Source organism: Homo sapiens, chromosome 6 (genome assembly GCF_000001405.40).
Source record: "Homo sapiens chromosome 6, GRCh38.p14 Primary Assembly".
Lineage (NCBI taxonomy): Eukaryota > Metazoa > Chordata > Mammalia > Primates > Hominidae > Homo > Homo sapiens.
The window spans coordinates 56,627,863-56,651,464 of NC_000006.12; the positions used below are offsets into that span (position 1 = coordinate 56,627,863).

The 23,602-nt window shown below is 36.2% G+C and overlaps 1 protein-coding gene across 11 annotated transcripts in view; it reads right to left on the reverse strand.

Annotated features, from left to right (window-relative positions):
• The window catches only part of DST (dystonin), a 496,835-nt gene that overhangs the window by 169,867 nt on the left and 303,366 nt on the right, over positions 1-23,602 (reverse strand). For 9 of the 11 annotated variants that reach the window (NM_001144769.5, NM_001374722.1, NM_001374736.1 and 6 more), the window contains 23 exons: positions 23,270-23,382; positions 23,064-23,170; positions 20,708-20,827; positions 18,225-18,320; positions 18,004-18,131; positions 14,548-14,641; positions 14,085-14,239; positions 12,281-12,743; positions 12,067-12,195; positions 11,834-11,911; positions 11,588-11,749; positions 11,397-11,501; positions 8,695-8,790; positions 7,727-7,852; positions 6,939-7,091; positions 6,600-6,754; positions 6,270-6,396; positions 4,992-5,175; positions 4,021-4,178; positions 3,349-3,527; positions 2,383-2,521; positions 1,388-1,581; positions 137-299 (listed from right to left, as the gene is read on the reverse strand). In NM_001144769.5, the coding sequence (NP_001138241.1) occupies positions 137-299; positions 1,388-1,581; positions 2,383-2,521; positions 3,349-3,527; positions 4,021-4,178; positions 4,992-5,175; positions 6,270-6,396; positions 6,600-6,754; positions 6,939-7,091; positions 7,727-7,852; positions 8,695-8,790; positions 11,397-11,501; positions 11,588-11,749; positions 11,834-11,911; positions 12,067-12,195; positions 12,281-12,743; positions 14,085-14,239; positions 14,548-14,641; positions 18,004-18,131; positions 18,225-18,320; positions 20,708-20,827; positions 23,064-23,170; positions 23,270-23,382 (3,424 nt within the window). Of the gene's footprint in view, positions 1-136; positions 300-1,387; positions 1,582-2,382; positions 2,522-3,348; positions 3,528-4,020; positions 4,179-4,991; positions 5,176-6,269; positions 6,397-6,599; positions 6,755-6,938; positions 7,092-7,726; positions 7,853-8,694; positions 8,791-11,396; positions 11,502-11,587; positions 11,750-11,833; positions 11,912-12,066; positions 12,196-12,280; positions 12,744-14,084; positions 14,240-14,547; positions 14,642-14,759; positions 15,028-18,003; positions 18,132-18,224; positions 18,321-20,707; positions 20,828-23,063; positions 23,171-23,269; positions 23,383-23,602 lie in introns of those variants that run through there. The other 2 variants (NM_015548.5, NM_001723.7) reach the window with 1 other exon arrangement.

Here is a 23,602-nt window from a genome sequence, read left to right on the forward strand (position 1 = left end):
TTTAATATTTTTTATATACTCTCCACCTTCCTCTAAAGAGTTGGTGACTTTTTCATTTAACATAGGAAAGGAAGATGAGGAGCATGACTGACCAAATGCAGACATAACCTCAGTAGAGGGAATTATTTTTACATACCTTCTGTTGATTCAACTGTGTGGCTAGGGTTTTACTATTTTCAGGCTGATTTTCCTGAATCTTTCTCTGAGTAGTTTCAACCTGCTGGATCCAATCATCTAAAGGATGGTAAGTGTCTCTGTAGTACTTCAGTGATTTGCCAATGCCCTCTAAGTCCCGTAACCTAAGAGAATAGTAACCGAATAGTCACGGTGTCCAGCGATATCCATCAGGAGGGTGGAAGATGTAGAGATGGGAGAGACAAAATAATTGGACTGCAATGAACTAAGCACAAGACGGGTATGTATAAAGAACTCAAGGCTGCAGCACCCTGAGGCACACCCCCAAGGGCATTCCTTATTGGGTTGAATATAAACATTCTGCTCCCTGAGTTGTGCAATTTAGTGACAGTGATTATTCTAGGGACAAGCCCAAGAAGCTAAACTTAAAAAGCAAGAAAAGTGGAAGCTTAACCTTAATTATTATCAATTACAGTGTCTTGAATAGTAAGGCTTGCATCAAATGGCAGTTCAGTTTTGAAATAACGATAAGGTAGTCCAATGAATGGTTCAACATGGTCTCAGAGAGTATTTTCCAGGAGCTGTGATTACATACCTGTCTCTATGATTTAAAAAACCACCACATTAAACCTATGTATCATATTTGTTACAGAGATAACACATATTTGAACATAATTTTACTTTTGGAGAATGGCACTGTATCATAAAAGCATTTTATTTGCATTAATATAAGCACGAAAGTGAATGAGAAAGGACACGAATTCATTTATTTTAAGATGAACCCTAAAACCTTTTTTAATTCAGTAACTGAGAATTTTGACTTTCTTGTATCTTCAATTAAAATGAACATCAGGGCATTTCCATTTATTTACATTTCTTAAGTCCAGTATAGAAGCTACACACAGCCCTATCACATGCATGCTTCATGCTCTTACTAAGTCATGGTTATTTGAATATTATAAGTTGGTAATAATTAGAGAACTACATTGTTTTTTCCTTCAGAAAAGGCAAGCAGATTAACTATATAAATGCTAGAATACATGAATAGTAACAGAGTTGAAAAAATGCTTATTTTAAGTTAAATGTCTTACTAAAGTCCTCCAAGTAAGAAAGAAATATGGCTAAGTAGAGGTATTGTAATTAACAAATTAACTATGGAAGTAAAAAAATAGCCTCATATGTGTAGATTTTACTCATTTACCATAGATAGACATTAAATCTGTGCTAAAACTGAACAAAAAAGGATACTAACCTGTTGTCAATCTGCACATGAACATTTTGCCACCTTTCAACTAATTGATCTGCTTTTTCTTTGTGCCAGTCAAAATCAAGGTCCCGTTCTTTATACGTTTTAAACATTTCATCACTGATGGCTTTAGCTTTCTGCAACTCATCCTCTAAGGCATGGAATACCTGTCTCTTTTCATCTACTTCAGATCTCCATTGCTAAAATACATTAATTGGTAAAAGTTATAAAAATGTTAACCACTCACTGGGTAAATATATTATTTACCTAATTTTACAATTTATTTACAAATGACAGGTAGAAAATAAGATAAAGGAAAGAATATCTTTCATATGCACAATATTATATTAGTTCAAACCTTATGAAATTTTCAATATTTGTACTCTGATTTTTTAATGACAATTTTATAACGTTCAGCCTAATAAAATTTGCATATCAACAAAATAAAATATATTCCATAAGCAAGTTTGCTACCTCCATTAATAAAATATGTCTTTTTCATTGTCTGCTTTTAAGTGCCTACTAATCCCACTGTTAAAAAGAAATACATGCATTAAAAATCACTGAGATAACTTTTAAAAATTGCTTTGCAATAGTTTCACCACTTGCTAAAGAAATACACATAGATGAGTTGAACTACAAGTCTTTTTCCTTTCTCAGATTAACTTCTCTATTTACCTCCTTGATATCTTAAATTAACTTCTTTTTCAGCAAGTTAATCTATTACAAATAATTTAATTTTTAGCTTCGACTCCTCCTGCTGCCAACATGAATTGACTATCAAAAGCTACTGTCAAAAGGGTTCAAACTTCAAATGAGAACTCTCCTCAAACTAAAATGACTGAACATACTTAGAGTAAACTGTGAGATCACAGAGACACAAATGGAATAAATCCATTCAAAAATCCAAGATATTTAACACTTGATGTTTGAAGATCTAAGTGCTAGAGAAATACTTGTAGAATACGATATTTAAAAATATCCAAAAGTGAGTCTCATACCTTTAAAGTACTTATTAGATTCTCAATATTATTCTTGTCAGCTATAACTGCTTCTTCTTCACACAGTTTAGTTTCATAGAGTTTTACGAGGGCTTCTGCAGCTTGAGTGTTTTTTAACACCAAGTTAACAGTTTTCAACCTTAAAAAGGAAATTAAACAATAGCCACCTATGGTTAAATGTTTATTTTTGCATAATGTAGTCCTGAAGCACCATTATGACACATGACATAACATGTTCTTCACCTTGGAACACTGATACATTTACTATGAAACTGACATTTTTCTGGCTTTCTTCTTAATAGAGAGTATGTGCTCCAACCCATCCCCTGCCCCACAAGTGGTATTCAGCAAGAGACTGCAACATAAGATGGTTTCTTTCTAACTTTGTTTAAGTATGAGATGAAAATTCATTGGCTACAACTGCTGAGCTACCCAAATTACATGCAAAATGTGGGAGGACCATACATTACACACTCATCTCTGAAGCACATCCACTATCAACATAGAGAAGTGTCATCAATCCATAAAAATAATGTATTTCTTTTTTTTTTTTTTTGAAATGGAGTCTTCCTCTGTCACCCAGGCTGGAGTGCAGTGGCGCGATATCGGCTCACTGCAACCTCCACCTCCCGGGTTCAAGTGATTCTCCTGCCTCAGCTTCCCGAGTAGCTGGGACTACAGACGCTTACCACCATGCCTGGCTAACTTTGGTATTTTTTATAGAGATGGGGTTCCACCATGTTGGCCAAGCTGGTACCGAACTCCTGACCTCAGGTGATTCACCTGCCTTGGCCTCCCAAAGTGCTGGGATTACCGGCATGAGCCACCACGCCCAGCCAATAATGTATTTCTTAAGACAAAATAAAAGTTAATATTTATATTAATAAAAATAAAATTTTAAATTAATAGTAAATAAAAATGAGAGTTGTATGAAGCAATTTATATATTGAGATAGCAGTTACATACTTATCTATGTAAGTGGAAGACATAGAATAGACTTGGTTCATGTTCTGAAGGACCACATTAAGCTCTGATCGTAGGGTAGGGACTGATGAAGAGGCTGCTGCTTGACTGAAAAACTCCTCACACTTATTTGTGATTGTTCCCAAATCATCTTTAAGTCGTTCCAGCTCTTTCTTTAGTTTCTATAAAACAGAGAACAAACAAAGGTATCAGGCCATCACCTGTGATGAGGTGTTTTTCTTAAACTAGTTGAAAAACACACATTTCACATTAAGAACCAATGACTTAGAAATCTACATATTCTTTGTTTGTTATCAAAGAAACTACATCATAGCATTCAAGTTTTACAATCAATAATTCCCTTACTGTTCATCTCCTTAGCCTCAACATCTAACTTAGTACTTTTGCACACAGCAGGTGTATAATGACTTTTATTACAAGTCCTTATATCCTTCATCACAATGAAGGTGAGCGTGTACATATTCTCATGTTTACCTGAGTCAGAGGTAGACTGAATCCTAGTTTATAATCAGCAATAATTACACAATCAGACCTCACCTCACACTAGACTGGCTAGTGTGAGTGTGCAAAACTGAACATTAAGAAGTCACAAGAGTTGATACATAAGGTCATTAAGAGAGTTAGTTTTTTTCCCAACATATTTATAGCTCTCACCTCCTGTTCTGTGATTCTGAACACACTTTCATGCAAATCATCTCTTTCCAGGGGAGTTCGAATCTGTCTAATCAGCCGATCTTCACAGTTCTCTAACCGAAGTCTAATGTTTCGAACTTCAGAGATGTAGAGATTATAAACTGATTCCTCTTGCTCCTCTGTGAAAATAAATATGTTTAGAAAATACCTTGTTTTCTATCTCTTAGAAGCTTCTGTTTATGTTTTAATATGAGAATTTTATATTACTGGGACACAGCTAGTCAAGCAAATGATTCCTGTTTTCATCACAAACCCATTCTAAGGATATAAATCTTAAAACATAAATCTTAAAATTTAAGAAGAATTAATAAAATTTCCCAAATGCCATTTGAAGTACCAATTTCCGATTAAATGCTGTCCAAAGTAATACGTTGCTATTTTATGTTCACAAAAATGTGAATTATATTAGCTGCAAAAATTAATTACAAAAATCAAATAAAAATCCTTAAAAGTAAATATTAGGTAAATAATATTTAATGTTTAAGATTTTTAAAAAATAGAATATTACTAATAAAATTGTCTCTAATTAAAATTTTTAAAGTTCAGAATAAAATCTGTATTTAACAAAAGTTAACTAGGCAAAAACCTTTTGCTTTAATCCTTGTATAAAATCCAAGTTTGGTAAATGGGAAAATAATTGAATCTTTTCTGAAACTGAAGGATTGCAAAATAGTGAAAACGTTGAAAAGTAAGAATTCGTTGTTTGTCCAACCAGTTGGTTGGCACCTTTCATTAATTTATCATTTGGAAACAAATTAATCCCTTCTTGAGTCTTCCTACCTCAAACATGCTTTTACCGTTCCACCAATTGTGTCTACATATCATAGGCTGGGTGATACAATATACCTAAGATTGAGATTCCCATTGAGAGCAAAAAATAGCCAGAACTAAACACCTATGGGGAAAAAAAGACAGGGATCCCCATGCTTTACCTCTTTCTGCAGATTTAAGAAGTTCTTGATAATACTGCTTACATACATTAACCTCCTTTTCCAGTTGTGTTATATCTGAGCCTGAAAAGACTTGGGATTCCTGGCTATCTTCCAGAAAATCTTCAAAACGAGATTGTAGATTACTTAGAACTTGCTGATGTTCACCAGGTAGCATTGTCTTTATCTAAAGAAGACCAAAGACCCATGTAATTCATTCTATTACTCATAGATTTGAATGGGAGACACTTCAAACTGGTCGTGTGGTATATGCCAATCTAAACGAATAATCATAAATAGGAACATTTGAAATTAACTGTCTTTTTCATTAACAATTTTAGGTGGTTTTTTTTTGTTTTTTGTTTTGAGACGGAGTTTCACTCTTTTTTTTTTTGAGACGGAGTCTCGCTCTGTCGCCCAGGCTGGAGTGCAGTGGCGGGATCTCGGCTCACTGCAAGCTCCGCCTCCCGGGTTCACGCCATTCTCCTGCCTCAGCCTCCCAAGTAGCTGGGACTACAGGCGCCTGCCACTACGCCCGGCTAATTTTTTGTATTTTTAGTAGAGACGGGGTTTCACCGTTTTAGCCGGGATGGTCTCGATCTCCTGACCTCGTGATCCGCCCGCCTCGGCCTCCCAAAGTGCTGGGATTACAGGTGTGAGCCACCGCGCCCGGCCGAGACGGAGTTTCACTCTTATTGCCCAGGCTGGAGCGCGATCTCAGCTCACTGCAACCTCTGCCCCCCAGGTCCAAGCAATTCTCCTGCCTCAGCCTCCCGAGTAGCTAAGATTACAGGCATGCACCACCACACCTGGCTAGTTTTGTATTTTTAGTAGAGACAGGGTTTCTCCACGTTGGTCAGGCTGGTCTCGAACTCCAGACCTCTTAGGTGATCCACCTGCCTCGGCCTCCCAAAGTCCTGGGATTACAGGCGTGAGCCACCGCGCCCAGCCAACAATTTTAGGTTTTAACGACAAAGAAAAACAAGTCTACGAAACTCAAATGAAATCAACTGTACCCATCATCGTATATCCAACAACTACATTCTGCCTCCCTATCTCACAGTAAGTTCTGAATGAAATTTGTGATCTCCAGATTTCCTCAGTTCTTAAAAAGTGCCTTATATGCTATGGGCATATAACAAATATTCATTGAATAAATGAATATTAGCATGGATTTGCCGGACTCCATCCTATTCTAAAGCAAATACAAACTCTACGACACATATGAAAAGGCATGCACATTTTTGGACATATCGAGTTGACATACAGATTCATACTTACTGAAGCCACATTGCTAGCTCGAATTCTATCAATTTCATTGATGAGATAATGCCAGGATACTACACTCTTCATGTTTATGTGAGACTCATGCCAAAGAGTCAGGACATTCTGATACTGTTGCTCAATTCTGAAATACATGAAAGAGAACTCAGATTAATGTTTTTACTCCCTCTGAAAACACACTGCAATTTTTCTTTTTGTGTGAAATATTCCACGGATGAGTTCTAGAGACTTTTGATCCTGTGGGGCCTTGACAAAGTATTGATTGTTCCTTCAACCTTCAGAGGGCCCCCAAAACTAGCTCAACATTTTTAGCTAATATATACAAACCTGTTGGCAAGGTCCACCGCTTCTTTGTTTGGTGGAGGAACGGTGAAGCACACAGATGGGACCATAGCCTCATTCCCAGTAGGACTAATGACCTTCCATTTAGCACGATGAGAGTTATTCGCCAAAACACATTCATCGTCTTTGTAAATGGTTATCTGGTTTAAAATAAAGAGCAGAATAACTCAATGAGGTCACTGTTAACTGTTTTCCATACTCAATCCTGGGATTTTTTTTGTTTTATGAGGCGGGAAATCTTGATCACTAGTTAGCAATATGATCTCATTTACAAAATATATGAATAATGACAGAAACTGGTCTGTTTCTAGGAGTTACAAGTACCTCAATTTGTCTGTAGTCACAGATAGCTTTGATCGGAATAGAAGTTTTGAGTGGACAGTCAGAATTCCTTGGCTTCAGTTGAATTATTGTTTTTGCTTTTCCCATTAGGTTTGCTATAGTGCTTTTGTACTGCAGAAGTTCTTCTTTCTCTTCCTAAGTAATAAATACAGTGAATTTTAAGAAGTAAAAGACTTGTACTCTCCATGCCTTCAGCACTTTACACAAATTAAACTTCATCAGAAAAGTCTTCTCTCTGACTACCTAGTCTAAATTTTCAATCTTTCCTCCTCCACCCCATCTTGTATCCCTCTTCCTTTCTTTGGTTTGTTTGGTTTTCTTTTTCCTCTTTGGCATTTACACTACCTAACATACTATACAAATTTTACTTATTTATTCTGTTTATTGTCTAACTCCCTCTCTAGCATGTAAGCACCACAAAGGTAGAGATTCTTGTCTGCTTTGTTCACTGCTGTAGCTCTAGAACCTAAAACAGTGCCCAGGATATATTAAGAACTTAAAAAGTATTTGCAAAATGAATAACTAAACACACACGTGCACACACACACACACGACACTAAAAACCATCTTAAAATATCAAAGCTATCACATTAAAAAAACACTTCTGTTGTATTTGTTGCCAAAAGAATACTAAAACTGAATGTGCAAATGTGTAATTGAATTAGTGGGAAATATCAAGAGTGCCAATAAAATACAAAGTTCTGCTCATATAAAACACTAATCTAATCACTTATGCATACTTATAAAATGCATAGGTTTTGTATTAGTACCATTGATTCCTGAACAAGGTCTTCTAGCTTGTGAATGCTGCTTGATCTATCACAGCTGTACTTCCGCTGAATGGCATCTTTTAGATTCCTTAAGTAATCAGTAGCTTCTTTGGCATCATTGAAAAACTAAGGAAAGATGAAACCTGGAAGTTAAAGTATGTTAAATACCAGCAAAGCACACAGTTGTCACACTCCAATACCAAGGTCCTATGTGTACCCCTCATAAGTGAGAAGAGAATAAAAGCACAAGATAGCTTAATAGTCACATCTTTCCTTGGACCAAAGAATAACCCTTGAAGTTGAATAGTTATGAATGAACATACTAAGTGTCCAAAGCTTATATGATGTTTTGGCTCTCTATTATTTTGGCTGAAGGTCCATTTTAAATTAGGATTTAAACAATTTTTAAGTAGGAGTGAAATTCCAAGAATACTTAAAAACTTCTATGGTTTTAGAAGTTAAATGGTTATAGATGGTTGATTCTCTATATGAAAACAGTTCCTAAATAAGAGACACATTTGTAGAATAGAATAAAGATTTTATGATATCTTAAGAATTTTTAAAGGATTCCTGCATTAACAGAATACTTCAATCTATCTCATAGGACATAAAACCAACTCTTTCGGCCTACAAAGAAAACAATTCACATATATATATATATATATATACACACACACACAAACACACACACACACACACATATACATATATACATATATAACAGTGTGTGTATATATGTGTATATATGTATATGTATGTGTATATATATGTGTGTGTATATATATACACACATATATGTGTATACGTATGTGTGTATATATATACACACATATATGTGTATATATATATGTGTGTATATATATACACAGAAACACATTGTTATCCTAACAATAAATTATGAAAAAGATTCCTGCAAGTTAGCCAAAATCACAATACCATCTATTGAAGTTATGATTCTACTCACATACCTCGAAATACGCTGTGTTCTCCTTTATGTGCTGCTCCACACACTGGCAGAGCTGTAAGATCCAGCTCCACTGCGTCTGCATTGCCGCTCTGTAGGCCTTAAAGATAAAACAGAGCCATCATAACTGACTGGGGAGAAATAAGGCACACATACCTTTTGATATCGATGCTTCTAAATGCTAACTCTACTATCTAAATAGATGACCAATTGTTTTGGCAGAATAAGACTTGGAAATTAGGGCAGTGGCTGGGCATGGTGGCTCACGCCTGTAGTCCCAACACTTTGGGAGGCCAAGGCAGGCAGATCACCTGAGGTCAGGAGTTCAAGACCAGCCTGGCCAACATGGTGAAACCCCATCTCCACTAAAAAATACAAAAATTAGCCAGGTATGGTGGCACGCGCCTGTGATCCCAGCTACTCAGGAGGCCAAGGCAGGAGAATTGCTTGAACCCAGGAGGCGGAGGTTACAGTGAGCCAAAATTGCGCCATCGCACTCCAGCCTGGGGAACAAGAGTGAAACTCCACCTCAAAAAACAAAAACAAACAAACAAACAAAAAAAAAACAAGAAAATCAGGGCAGTAAAATTTTCCTCTTATCTAAGACTTCTCACTTGTACAAAGTCAGTCCTAAAGTTTAAATATAAATTCTTAAACCACTCCAGTTGATTTCTTTTCAATTTTAAACTTCTTGAAATTTCTTATTAAAATATAAGAAAAAAATTATCTCTGGCTACGGGAAAAAATATTTAAAAACTAAAATAAATGCAAGCTATCCCTCCTGTTTACAAAACCAACACTTGACTCCTTTGCCACCAACTCTTACATCTGCTTTGTGGAATCCTCCGATATGTTTTCTTTCGTGGCACATTCATCTCTCCTTTCTCTGAATTTTTACGGTGCTAGATCATAAAATATACCTTCTAACACAGAAATATATGGTTATGTCGGTTTCTCTTTGTTTTTGCTGGGATGAGGTTTGGGGAGGGTGGAAAAGAAAATGTGTGTACTCCCAAATTGGTGTAATTCTGGAATTATAATGATGATAATACTAGGAATTTTTATTTTAAAAATGTGTTTCTTGAACTTCTAATTTAATAGAGAGTGTATCTTTCATGAGGGTAAACAATATTGTACAAAGGATACCTCCTTCCTCAAGGAAACATGAAATACTCTTTTCTATTTAAGGTGCAATTCATTGATTTCCAGAAGAGGGCACTCGAGATGCTTTAATGACTATTTTAAGTAAGCCTGTCATTTTCCCTCCTTTTGGAAAAGTTCATTCCTGCTGAGCTATACTTAGGCAGGACTTCCGAATGGAATGTATGATGCAGCATTGAATATCTGGCAACATATCATGATCATATTCTACCTCAAATTAAGCTACTTTCAGTAAATTGGCTATAAAAGATGTATCATATTTTTTTCATATAAAATATGAAACAGTATTGATAATTAACTAAATATTATCCATGTACCCAAACAAGACACAGGACAGGCCGATGGGATCATAAAGATGACTAAGGTTTCATTTTACTTCTTAAGAAATTTTTTATTAATTAAATTATAATTTTTACATAAAAGTGATCAGAGTGACATTCACATGTTCCATTCCCATCAAAATTCTTGGCCCATAATAGTATTTCCTAACAGTTTTCATCTCTCCACCCTAAGAAATACTCTTTTTAGTGTATTAGTGTACAAAACCACATCCCAGGCCCTCCATTACTCTCCTTTCCCTAAAGATTCCCTACTCTTCTACGTTTTTAACATTCATATGTGACATTTCATGTAGACACAAAACCGTATTTTATATAAAAGATCATACATAACATCCCTAAAACTTCCTGATGAGCCTAGAATTGTACTAATCTTTTGAGTTATTATGATTTCAGTGAATCTATCAGATTCCTTTCCTCAATTGTGAGTTTGAAGCATGACAACTTTCAGGACCAGCATCATTTTTTTTCCTCTGGCAAAATATCACATCTGACTGCCCATGTGTGACAATCCCTACTTTCTTACATAATCCCCCTATTCTCCATTCAGAAAGTCACTAACTCTGTCTAATATACAATTTAAAACATTGTCCCAACTGCATAGGCAACCTGATAAATCCCATCTCAATTTTCCACTTCTGAATTTGAAATGTTCACTGCACATTATAAAGCCTTGTCAGGATGCTGTCCCAATACACCTCACAAAACCAGAGCATAAATAAAAGTATTAAATTGAATCATAACAGCTGGTATTTTTTTGAGAACAAATAATGTACCAAAAACTATACTAAGCAGTAAGAGTAAATTATTTCCTTCTTATTCTCATCACAACTCTATGGATTAGAGGTAATCTCTCCCATTCTTGGTAGGAAAATGAGGCTTGGCAATACTATGTCACTTGTGCAATGTTACACAATCAGAAATAAATAATATGGCAATGCTTACACAGAGAAGGTACTTCATATTTACAGCAATACATCTTCTCAGCCACAGAGGCTGACAAGGGTACTTTTATTCTAAGTGATGGGTGACATACTTAGAGCCAGAGAACTGAAGGCAATCAGTACAATTTGTCAGAAACATTTCTGAGCCAGGTTTTAATAAAAGTTAGATGGCTTGTAATTTTCAACTTCTCAGCAATAAAAGAATCTGAAGGGAAATAATCATATCAATATTCAACCAACACCATTACACTTTCCAGCTTTACCTCAATAGTTAACCGGGCTGGATGATTTTCTAGAAGTAGCTGCTCTGCTATCTCCTGAACTGATTTAATATTTTCTTCCTTTTGATCAAGTTCTCTCATTAATTCCTTCAAGAAATAATTAAGAAGTGTGTTAGAAAAATATATAAACCTAAAATGCAACCCTAGTATGCAAGTACAAAGGGTGTACTTACAGCATGATAATCTTTTTTCCTAGCTATGTTGGTGTTTCTCTCACTCCAGTCATAAGCAACTTCCTCCTCTTCTTTTTCATTCAACCAAATAAGTTCATTAGTCGCACGACTTACAAAATTATGGAGTGTATCAAGGTGCCGTTCTTGATTCCTGGATGTATTCTTTAGTAAGGAAAATCATCATAAGAATCATGTTTTTGCCAAATATAGATAAGGGAAACAGAAGGTTTAAAAAAAAAAACTTACCAAGAGTTTTGCATACTGACTCTCTAATCTGTGCAACTTTTCTGCATAAGTCAGTTTAAGAGGTGCTGTCATTTGAATCTATAACATGAGATTAAAAAGACACTCCAGTCAGGAATCTGAAGGAATTCTGACTCACACTTAATGTATCTATTATTGATTTACAGGGTCTTCATGTAAAAAGCAAAACAAGAGTAAACTAAAATGAAATATATACAAATTTTAAATTCACATACCTCACTGATTTTAGCTTCTTTGAGACTAGATTCAAATTCTTCAATAGCTCTATGAACATTTTTATGATTTTCTAAATGGCTTTCAACACTTGGCAAATCTGAGCCCCACTCAGTGCGGTCCAGTTGTACCTTCAGACAGTAAAATACTAAGTTTAAAAAAGAAATTGATAACAATAAAGACTGAAACACTCAGGTAAAGTAAACATTTTTTTACCTGCATCTCATCAACCCAATTCAAAAGATCCTGAACAAATTTCATATTGATTTCTTCTTCTGTTAAATTTTGATCCAGCAAAGAAGACTTTAGAAGGGGTTTTCGGATCTGCATCAACTTCAAAGTTTGCAATGAATTTGGCTCTACTCCTGAACTGAAATTTGGAACTAATCCTGATGGGAAACCAGGTGTATAAGCTGGAGTGACAGATGGAGTCAGGCGGGAAGTCATCCCTGATGACAGGCCAGAAGTCATACTAGAAGAGGTTAGGGAAGGTGTTAAACTCTGGGTCAGCCCTGAGGTCAGACTAGGGTGTAAGGTCTGTGCAAATCCTGAGTTTAAACTTTGAGTGATTCCTGATATCATGAGCTTTGTCTGTTCTGTTGTCAGTATGCGTCCTTTGCTGTACACAGAAGAACATTCGTTCCTTAAGGCCATAATTTCGTCACGCAGTTTTGCAACCCTGAAAAGAAAATCCAAAGGGATAAGGTGAAATATAAAGGCACTTGTAACAAAGAGTGAACTCTAATGTTAATTATAGGTTTTAGTTAATAATGATGTATCAATGTTGGCTTATCAGTTTTAGCAAATGTGCCACACTAATGCAAGATGTAAATAACAGGGGAAGAGGGAGGTATAAGGGAGCATATGGGAACTCTGTATTTTTCACTCAATTTTTCAGTATGCCTAAACGGCTCAAAAATACAAACAAGCAAAATGAGGAGGCAATTGAAATCACATTGCTAAAATTTTGCATCATGATTTTTTTCAATGAGCATTGTACTATGAGGACTTTCAATCTTATTTGTCTTTATAACTATGATTTATAATGAATACAATTACTATAGCATAATATGATCATTTTTACATTTATGTATATATTTTTCATATTTAGAATTACTATAGATTCCTAAAGGTGAAATTACTGAGTCAAAGGATCATTTAAAATTTTTGCATTTACATATTTATGCACAGAGAGAGAGAGAGAGAGAGAGAGAGAGAGAGAGGTTATAGCCTGAAATATTCCATACTTACCCCCATACACACACTTCTCAGTGATAAAGGTTTTTATACACGTATTTTCTTTCAAGATTTTGTTATGAACATTTTCATAATAGGATAAACAGAAAACTAAAAAGCTGAATTAAAAATGACACTTTTTGGCCAGGCATGGTGGCTCATGCCTATAATCACAGCATTTTGGGAGGCTGAGGCAGGTGGATCACTTAAGGTCAGGAGTACAAGACCAGCCTGGCAAACATGGCAAAACCCTGCCTCCACTAAAAATACAAAAAATTAGCCAGGTGTGGTGGCGGGTGCCTGTAATCCCAGCTACTAGGGAGGCTGAGACATGAGAATCGCCTGAACCCAGGAGGCAGAGGCTGCAGTGAGCCGAGATCACACCACTGCACTCCAGCCTGGGTGAGAGAGCAAAACTGCATCTCAAAGAACAAAAAACAGACACTTTTCTTAGATTTTTTTCTCTTTCAAACATCCCATGAATACTTTAAATGTATGTAAATGTATGCATGTAACTTACATCTATATCTAGGGTATTCATTTTAACGAGTTAGTTACTGCAGCAGTATTATACGCACCATAAAATATTTTTTCTATTGCTAATCTTTAAAAGACAAGTACCTACTTAAACACCAAAATATATAAAAATGTGACACACATTTTCAACTAAAAAACAGCAAAGAAATATATTTCATAAAATTTTCATACTCTACATTCCTATTTCAAATGCCCATGAAACAGTTACACAAAAAAAGGACAGAGAAAGAATAAGTAGCACTCTTACCTCTGTACCAATTGATCTGCCTGGTAGTATTTTCCATCAATAAGAATCTGTACATCAATTACATGCTGGCGTAAAAGGTTCTCACATTCAAGTATATACCCAGCAATTTCTGCTTCATTCTGAAACTGCACTCCTGATTCTAATCTTTTAGAATCCTGTATTTTAAAAGAACTCAGTATTAATTCTGTGAAACAAGTTTCAAAACAACCTGAAATATAAAACATCAAATATTGGAACAGAAGCCTACTTGGGCTTTCTTTAGTTTTCCTTGTTGGTTCAAAAATATGTTTTCCCTCTTCTTGTCTCTCAAGAGAGCAAACACCAATCATAATCTTTAACAAACTTTAAGTTTCAGTGGAGAGTATTACGAAGAATCAACCAAACATTATGTAAAAGTTTTAGTTCATCCAAACGCACAGTGACTCCTCTACCACAACCCCAATGGCTCCTAAAATTAACTTACAGACTGAAGAGCATTTCCAGCAAGAATCAGTTTGTCTTCACAGATGACACTGTCCCTCTGAACTCTGTTGGCAATCTGTTGCAACATTTCTAACCTAAAAGATGAGACAAAATAAAATAAAGCTTCTCCCTTTGAAGTCAAAGAGCTCACCATTCCTGAAAAGTGCTGCCCATCAAAAAGTAAAACACAATCCCACACCAATGATTCAATACCTGTGTCCATCAAAGGATTCACTGCCGAAGCTAATGCAAGAGTTGATCAGTGTTGGACCACAATGAACCAAGAGAAGATTTTCATTTGAATCAAGACTGGTTCGAGTGCTGGTAGTGTTACTAAACACAGAATCACTGCTACGGTAACTATAACTACTACTGTGCATTTTTATTCCTGAAACGATGTTCTTTCTTTCACCTTTCAAAGTAGACTAAAAGGTAGGAGGTCTGGAAAAAGCTCTACTTCTAACGGTGAAAAGTGGCAGCTGAATATTACAGCTTTTAGTGGCTCCTTAAATATGCTTCAACATGCATATGCAACACACAGCAAATAATATGCTGATAACTATTCAAAAGAATCTAGCCTAAAGCCATTCGTTTGCTAGCTGAGGTTTGCCTTTTGTAGCTTGTATTAAAACCCTACAAGTATGAACAAAGCAGGCAGATTGGGCGTCACTGGAAAGGATATGCCAAATATTTGCACTAAGAGTCATCCAATTGCAACCACCTAAAAAACAACTCAGATGCCTCACAGATGTCCAGGACAACTAGTAAAGATTATTCTGGCAATACCAATCATTAGCTAAAAGAACACAAATATCCAATCATAGTCTGACTTCTGCAAAAGACCAGGTCTGTGCTGAATAATGTAAGGAAGGCAAACAGCTAGAAATTATGAAGTACCTATAAACAAATGAATTTGATGAGAAGCAAAGTACGCTTCCATTTTAACCACCATGTCATTTGTTTATTAGGTTAAATTAATGGAAAAAGTATCCATTTACCTTTCTTTATATGACACGCTCCCAGTAATGTTACTTCTAAACCTACTATAAAGTGCCAAGTAGAATACTGATGCAATGCTTACAAATTTAATTTGTCTGTGCTTGTTTTTCCATTCTATAGGATATTACATGGCATAAGAACACTGGCTCTTTCCCATTTGTTTTTCATACACTTCCATGCCACATAGCTATTACTCGCAATACATAGACAATGCCAAAAAATTCGCATGAAGAAACATGAAGGCATTTATCCAACCAGCCTCCTAAATATTTTCCTACCTCCAATAATACTGTTACTTCTCCACTCTAAGAATAGATATTTTTCTTTTCAGGGGTCAAGAAAGGGGAAATTTGAGAGTGCCACACCAATTGCTTCTTGGCCTTTTGGCTAAGATCAAGTGTGAGAGTGCCACATCAAATATAGTGAGTGAACAGAATAGCTCAAAACAATAACAGTGGCACCTGGCATTTATTAAGTAATTATTATGTGCAAGAAATTAATCATTTTAGATACATAACTCATCTCATACTCATAACCACCCAATGTAGTAGGCACTATTACATCCTGTTTACAAATGAAGAAACTGAGGCTTAGACGGTTAAAGAACTTGTCTAACATCATACAACTTTGCAGGCTGAGCTAATAATCTAATTTAAAATTGAGTGGCTTCTAGGCCCTGAACTCTCAACCACTCTCTGCTTTCTTTTATGAACATATCTTAAAATTCAGCTACTGTTCTGATGACTAAAAATCTACTCTGTATCCTCTGGAATACTTTTCCATTATTTCAAATGATTAACATAGTATCTCATTTCAATCACTCAAATTACCTTTTCCGTAAAAGCTGCATCCTGTATATTTATGGCTTGTTTTGGTTTTAATAATCCAGTTATGTACACATATTATTATACTTTAACATAAATGTAATCAGTAATTTAATAAAGGACTGACAGGTTAGACATGCTCTCATATATTTATTTTATGCATTATTTCACAACGTTGAATCCTGAAGTCAATGTGTAAGGCACAGAGAACATGACAATACTGAGCACCTCTAATGTTGTGTCAGGCGCTGTGTAAAGCACTGGCAACGCAAGGGACAGAAAAAAAACAAGGGTTTCTCTCCACATTCTTGGAGCTCATATCTGTGGAATAGGCAAGACTTAAGCAATCACCGAAATAAATATAAAAATACAACCAAGATAAGCACTATGAAGGAACAATACATGGAAACATGAGAGTTCTAAGCAAGATATCTGAACTAGCCTAGGGAACCATGGAAAGTTTCTCGAGAAAATAATGTTGGAGCTGAGATCTGAGAATGTTTAGGTGTAAGGCAGCCAGTGTGGCTACTGTGCAGAGAGCAAGGGGGCTGGAGAGGTGTGTCTGGCCACACAGGCCTTACCCTGTAATATGGTTTGCCTGTGTCCCCACCCAAATCTCATCTTGAATTGTAATAATCCTCATGTGTCAAGTGTGGGGCCAGGTGGAGATAACTGAATCACGGGGGCGATTTCCCCCATACTGTTCTCATGGTAATGAATAAGTCTCAAGAGATCTGACGGTTTTGTAAATGGGAGTTCCCCTGCACAAGCTCTTGCCTGCTGACATGTAAGATGTGACTTTGCTCCTCATTCGCCTTCCACCATGATTGTGAGGCCTCTCCAGTCATATGTAACTGTGAGTCAATTAAACCTCTTTCCTTTATAAATTACCCAGTCTCAGATATGTCTTTATTAGCAGCGTGAGAATGGACTAATACACCCTGCAAGGTCTAGGTCCTATAGACTTCATGGCTAATGAGGAACACAGATCACAATTCCCAGGTACCAGGTTAAGACTGTAAGGGAGACAAATTCATCCAACAAGCATTTCCTGAAGACTAAATGGTACCTTCCTGGGCAACTGGATGTAGTGAGAGACAAAATGACAGAGAACTAGTGATGATTTCATGGAGTAAATCCACTTGTAGAAGCGTGGCAGAAAGGGAACCTGAACTAACATTTACTGAGTGTGTTCTAGACGCCATCCAACACCCTTTAAATGAAGGCAAGCTAGATTTTGGTTTCCAATGCCCCTTGGAAAGAGAACTATAGCAAAAAAATGTAATAAGAAATAAAATCAGCTGTTGTCCTATAAGCTTTTAGATCCAGGCCCTGGTGACTTAAGGTCAATATGAGAAATTACAAGTAATTTTGACTGGTTTTAAAACTGTAAAGCCTTATTAGATGAGACTTCACATACCAATCCAGCCTAGCCGGTCATTTATATACATTACTTCACTGATTGCCTCCTTAAAATCTCTTAGAAGAGTTTCTAGGTAAGAAAATGGAGGATCAAAAGGATTAAGAGACTTATCCAAGGCCAAGTAAACAGAGGTTTAACTTAAGTTCTTTCACAAGAACACAAAGGCCCCCTCCCCACTTGATATTCATGGCAGAAAACACCTCTGGCCTACCTTTCTACTTCTGGACGAAGGGCCTTCTCTCTCTCTAGCATGGCAATAATGAGTTTCCCCCACTCTTTTTCTATGTCATTTGGATGATAACCTTGAAGGAGCTTGATGCGTCCAAATTCTATCCAAATCTTGAGAAAACAAAAAACTTTAATGTGAAGCAAAAATGAAAACAAAACAAAACAAAGACTATGCTTGACAATACAAAGCAAATTTGAGCTTACCTCTAATAATTTATATAGACGTTTAATTTTTGATTTTTCTGTCTCCTTTGGTGGAATTTCTGTTTCTTTAAACTGTAAATACTGATTATAAAGTGCCTAAAATAAAAAGGACAAGAAATTAAGGACCAAACTTAAAAGATCTGTTTTCATGATCTCACTAAGCCACCACTTCAAGTGTTATGTACTGTATCATATGCAGTCAGTGGAATTCCTTTGTTAAACCGACACTCAAAGACAATACCAATTTCCAGCCAGCTGGTGACGTGGGTTATCTAAAATTTGATGAGGGTGTAATTATTGATGTGAGCCATGATTTAGTGCCACAGGGGGATCTGGATAATAATAAACCATTCAGTGTTTACTAGTGCTCTACTAAAAATCTCTCATCCTCCAAACAAGAAAACATACCCTTTAAAAGATGCACTTCCCAAATGCTGCACTTTAGCTTTCAGTCTTTGGAAAAATAATTTGAAGCAATTCCCATAAAGAAAGCAATAAAAAAACTCTCTTCTATTGCATGGTTCTATCCTTCAAAAAAAAAAAACTTCTTAGCAGAAAGGGCTAAAATTTAGTTTCAATGTCCCACTGGCAAATTTAAACAGATTTTTTGAACAAATGAAGGTAGATGCTATTAGTTGATGGGGCTATTATTACAGAAGTTTCAACCGTGTAATTAAGTTACTATCTAGTTTGTATACATTAATTTGGGAACCTCTTAAATACAGTGTATTTATTAAAAGGGACCTTCATAAAAATTATGTAGATAATGTATCTCCATATTTAATAGGTATGTACTAATTACTTCATTGTAATTCATGCAGCTACAAAACAAGACCCTGTAAATCTTTAGGATGACACATTTCTGAAGGATTCCATTCAAAGTTCTGCTAATGCAATTATCTGGCATTTCCCCATGATGTATTTTCTTTCCTAATCTATGTCTTGTTCTAGTCATCAGCAAGTACTCTGATCACTTCTTCTATAACTAAGAATCTACACTAACCAGAAGCCAGTACAATTCATCCAAGGGTCTGGACAATGGAAATCCATTTGGAAATAAGTGTATTTGAACATGAAATCTGAAAATGGTTTTGAAATCAGAATGCAATGTTTCAGGACGTCTGTTGGTCATTAAGCACCGAATACTCCTGTGTGCTAAACACTGTTCATGGCACCACATGGTCGTTGTAGGGAAAAGTTTTCCTGCCCTGGAAAATTACATGTCCATGTAGGGAAACATCACACAAACAGCTTGAGAACACTTAAAAAGTATCATATCATCAGATGCCAAGTAATTTCGTGCCAAGGACAAACTCCCCGTGGCAATGAGAATGAAAGCTGTTCTACAGATATTCTGTACGGATGCAGGAGCACAATGAATAACTCTAATGGAGCTCACCCTAGGTTATTACAGTTTTTTCTATCCCAGTTTGATCATGAAAATAAAGCTTACAAACCAAAGAATTAAGGCTTTGTCGGCAATATTCGCATTATCAGCTTCTAGAAATAAAGTAGACCACTTTGCTATTATAAAACCAAATATACAAATGAGACAACTTACTCTTTAATAAGTTTACATATTTGTAATGGCTTTTTGTAATGTTTTTTTTTTTTTTTGAGACGGAGTCTTGCTCTCTCGCCCAGGATGGAGTGCAGTGATGCGATCTCGGCTTACTGCAACCTCCACCTCCCAGGTTCAAGCGATTCTCCTGCCTCAGCCTCCTGAGTAACTGGGATTACAAGTGTGTGCCACCACGCCAGGCTGATTTTTGTATTTTTAATAGAGATGGGGTTTCACCATGTTAGCCAGGCTGGTCTCAAACTCCTGACCTCAGGTGATCCACCCATCTTGGCCTCCCAAAGTGCTGGGATTACGGGTGTGACCCACCGCACCCGGCCTATAATGGCTTTTATATCTGCAATGTCTTTGCCTCAAAAGCTTGCCCTAAGTTTTTCAGTATTAGCAAATGTTTTACTAAACCATGAATTCACTTATACTGGAAGTCAGACATGTATTTTCAAATTCATGGTGAAATACTGTGTACCTCTTCCTGCACAAAAGATGCTTCCTGCACAAAAGAAGCAGTTTTTAACAGGGCTCAACCACAGGCACACCCCCAATCCAGTGCCACACTTGTATGTACTTCCCAGGGTCCCTTCTACCTCAAGCCATCTCGGGGGCTGCAAGCATTTCCCATGTACTAAAATCAATCTGACAATGTCAGTTTCAGAGACTCTCTCAAATTAAACCTTTAACCTCTCAACCAAAGCTGAGTGACTACAGCTAATCTGTTTTAATTGTTAATGTTTTACCTCCATTTTCTCTGTATAATAAGAGAAATGAGTAATACAAATTTTGCCTACTTATTAATGGCTTTCCAAGGGCAACTTTTGTTGAACTTCTAAAATTACAGAATTATTATAGCATTACTTAAGGGTTTACAATTGAATCAATCCTATGTAATTTCTACAGTGACACTAACCTTCAGTTCTACAGGATTATTAGGAAATGTTCTCTCAGACATTGTGGTCACATGGTGTCTAATCCATTGGATGAGGTAGTTCACCATATTCTGGTATTCAATCCATTTGACTTCAACATCCTAGAACAATCAAATGATAGAAAAGGTTCACATCTGTAGATAATAACATTCATATCTAAGACAATTTAGTCAGAAGTCATTCTGTAAATGTATGTATTTGAAGCCTGACAGACAGAACCAGCTAAATGTTTTCTTACTTTCACCCAGCCCCAATCCCTGTCACATAAACACCTGTAAAATTTGCTATCAACATTTGGCCACTAACACTAGCCTTATGAGTGCCAATTCTGATCCAAAGAAAGTGGCTGCCTGGGGTATTGTATTTAGAAGGCTTTTGGGGCTCAATCTAAGCACAGCAGAAAAAAATCCAAAGTCAATTTGGGGTGTTTACCAGGGCTCAAGATTGGGCAGTAACAACTTGCATAAGCCAAGTTAGTTGCCATCTTTGCCAACTATTTTAGATCTAAATCTACTATGTATCTCAAACTCAAAAGACTTACCCAATATATAGGAAACCAGATATGTACACAAACTACAGGAAATGTATATGGTGGGATTATCCAAGTACTCAGTAGGCAAACTCTTTAAAAATGGAGGAAACTTGGAAGGCTGCCAACTGCTCTGTTTAAGTATTTGATGAGTGCTTATTATTATGTTCAAAGGTTGTGTTGAGTGTTATAATAAAAAAATACTTTAAGATATAATACCTATTGTCAAGGAGTTACTGTCTAAATGCAGAGGCAAGAGAGATACATAATATAAACAGGCAAAATGAAGAGCAGTATTTAATTAAGTGTTGAAATGTTGAAATAACTAAAACGGGTAGTACATGCTAGTTGAGATAAGAATCAGGCAAGCATATCTGTGCCTTAAAATAGTTTCTAAAGGCTTCTTGGGAAAGGCAGTATCTGAGATGTTCTGCAATGACCAGTAAGTAATTATTGATGGGGGGAGGTGAGTGGGGGTGCTGAAAGAGTGGATAAAAGGGGAGTCCCAAGTGAGTCAGGACATTGACATGGAAATGTCCTGGCTACCAGTAAACAGTTCATATTGGGAAATCATAGCTAAAACATGTAGGTAAACAGAATAAATATTTGCAGTTTTAAATGTCAGAATATCTAGATTGCATTTAACTTTGCAAGGAATATGTAGACACTGAAAATTTTCAAGCCAAAGACATCAGGTTTTAGACAGATTAATTTGGCAACAGTGTGCCGAGGCAGTGGGAAGAAGAACAAAATGGAGACAGAAAGCTGTAGGAAAGCTATCGGCCTAGTTCTGCAGTAATAGGCAGCAGGATCAGCATGAAGGTTGGGAGAAGCAGCAGCAAGAGATGGCCAAAGAAACATTCTGAAGCAACGCTCAACATTGAATCATCAGGGGTGAGCATGGGAACAGGCTACTCAGGGATCAAAGAGCATGAAGCCTTTGAAAAGAAGAACCTGAGGAAGAATATGGAAACAGGTCTAGAAACAGCACAGAGAACTGACAGAAGCAATCAGAAAAGGGAGCTCCTAATCCAGGGGAGCTAATCAAAGATGAGCTCCTAAATCTTCAAAGTAATGTAGGGGAAAAAAGGTGTCTGCAAAGAGGAAGGCAGAAATCCAAGTGAAGGGGATCATCCCCAAATATGTGACACATACTGGGCTTCCTGTTCTCTTCAGAAATGCATAAGCACTTGTTAGCATAACCACCCAAAAAAAAAAAAAAAAAAAAAAAGCATCACTGAAGTGAGTTACACAAACCTTTAAGAAATAGTAGACTAATAAACAGCCCAAAGCTATGTGTCAGAGACCTTTCCCTGCTTACTAAGTGGCTCTGCTAATTTGGCCAAATCCAATAATTTTCCTCTGGAGTCCTCCTTTAAATCACAAAAATGTTATCAAGCCAACTTATTTCATAGAATCGTATGAAGTAACAAATTTGAAATTGTTTTCAAAACTGAGATATTCTATACATACAAAAGAATAGCAAATACAGCAATGTAAAACGGCAGCCAGCTAAAAATGGAAAACTCTAAATTTCAGAAAGTTAAACCTTTTATTTATAAGATGATCGGTAACTATAAATAGCCTCTTTTATTTATGACACAAAAGTTTTAATGAGTTATACTTTAAATTTAATGGTAGAATAATGTCATGAAATACATAGAATATCAATTCATCAAACAGCATATTAACTCAAATTCTTTAAAATATATTCAACATTCAAAAACTGCAAAAATCATTATCAATAAATGCAGTCAATTGGTCATTACTGAATCAACAGCTTCCGGTGTGGAAAAATCAATACTCACATTTGCACCAATGCCTTCCCCACCTTCAGGGACTTTAGGAAATGCATCATAGAGAGATGACACGTAAGTTATTACTGATTTTTCATCAGGTGAGGAGACATCGACATCTAAAAACAGCAACATAAATTAATTATTTCACAATGTTGATAAATTACTTTTGATCAGACTTTCATGCCAGTCCACATATAATCAAGAAAATAACTCACCTTCAGGGTCCAGAAGTCTTATAACACCAATTTTTTCTGCTACGTAAAAAGCATGCTCTAAATTTGCAAGGTTGCTTTGAACAGCAACAGTATTCATATCTATCAGGTCCGGCCTAGGAAAAAATTCACTGTGTTAATTAGGTTTTCTCATGTGCCAATTCAACATTATATAATTATATAGGTTTCCATTTACATAACAACATCTGCTAATATTAACACCAAGCCTGCGTTAAAATGCAGAGACTTTCATCAAACATTTAACATTGCTCACTTATCTCAGAAACTTCTGTATCGAAAGCAAATATAACAATGAAAATATAACAATTTGAACAT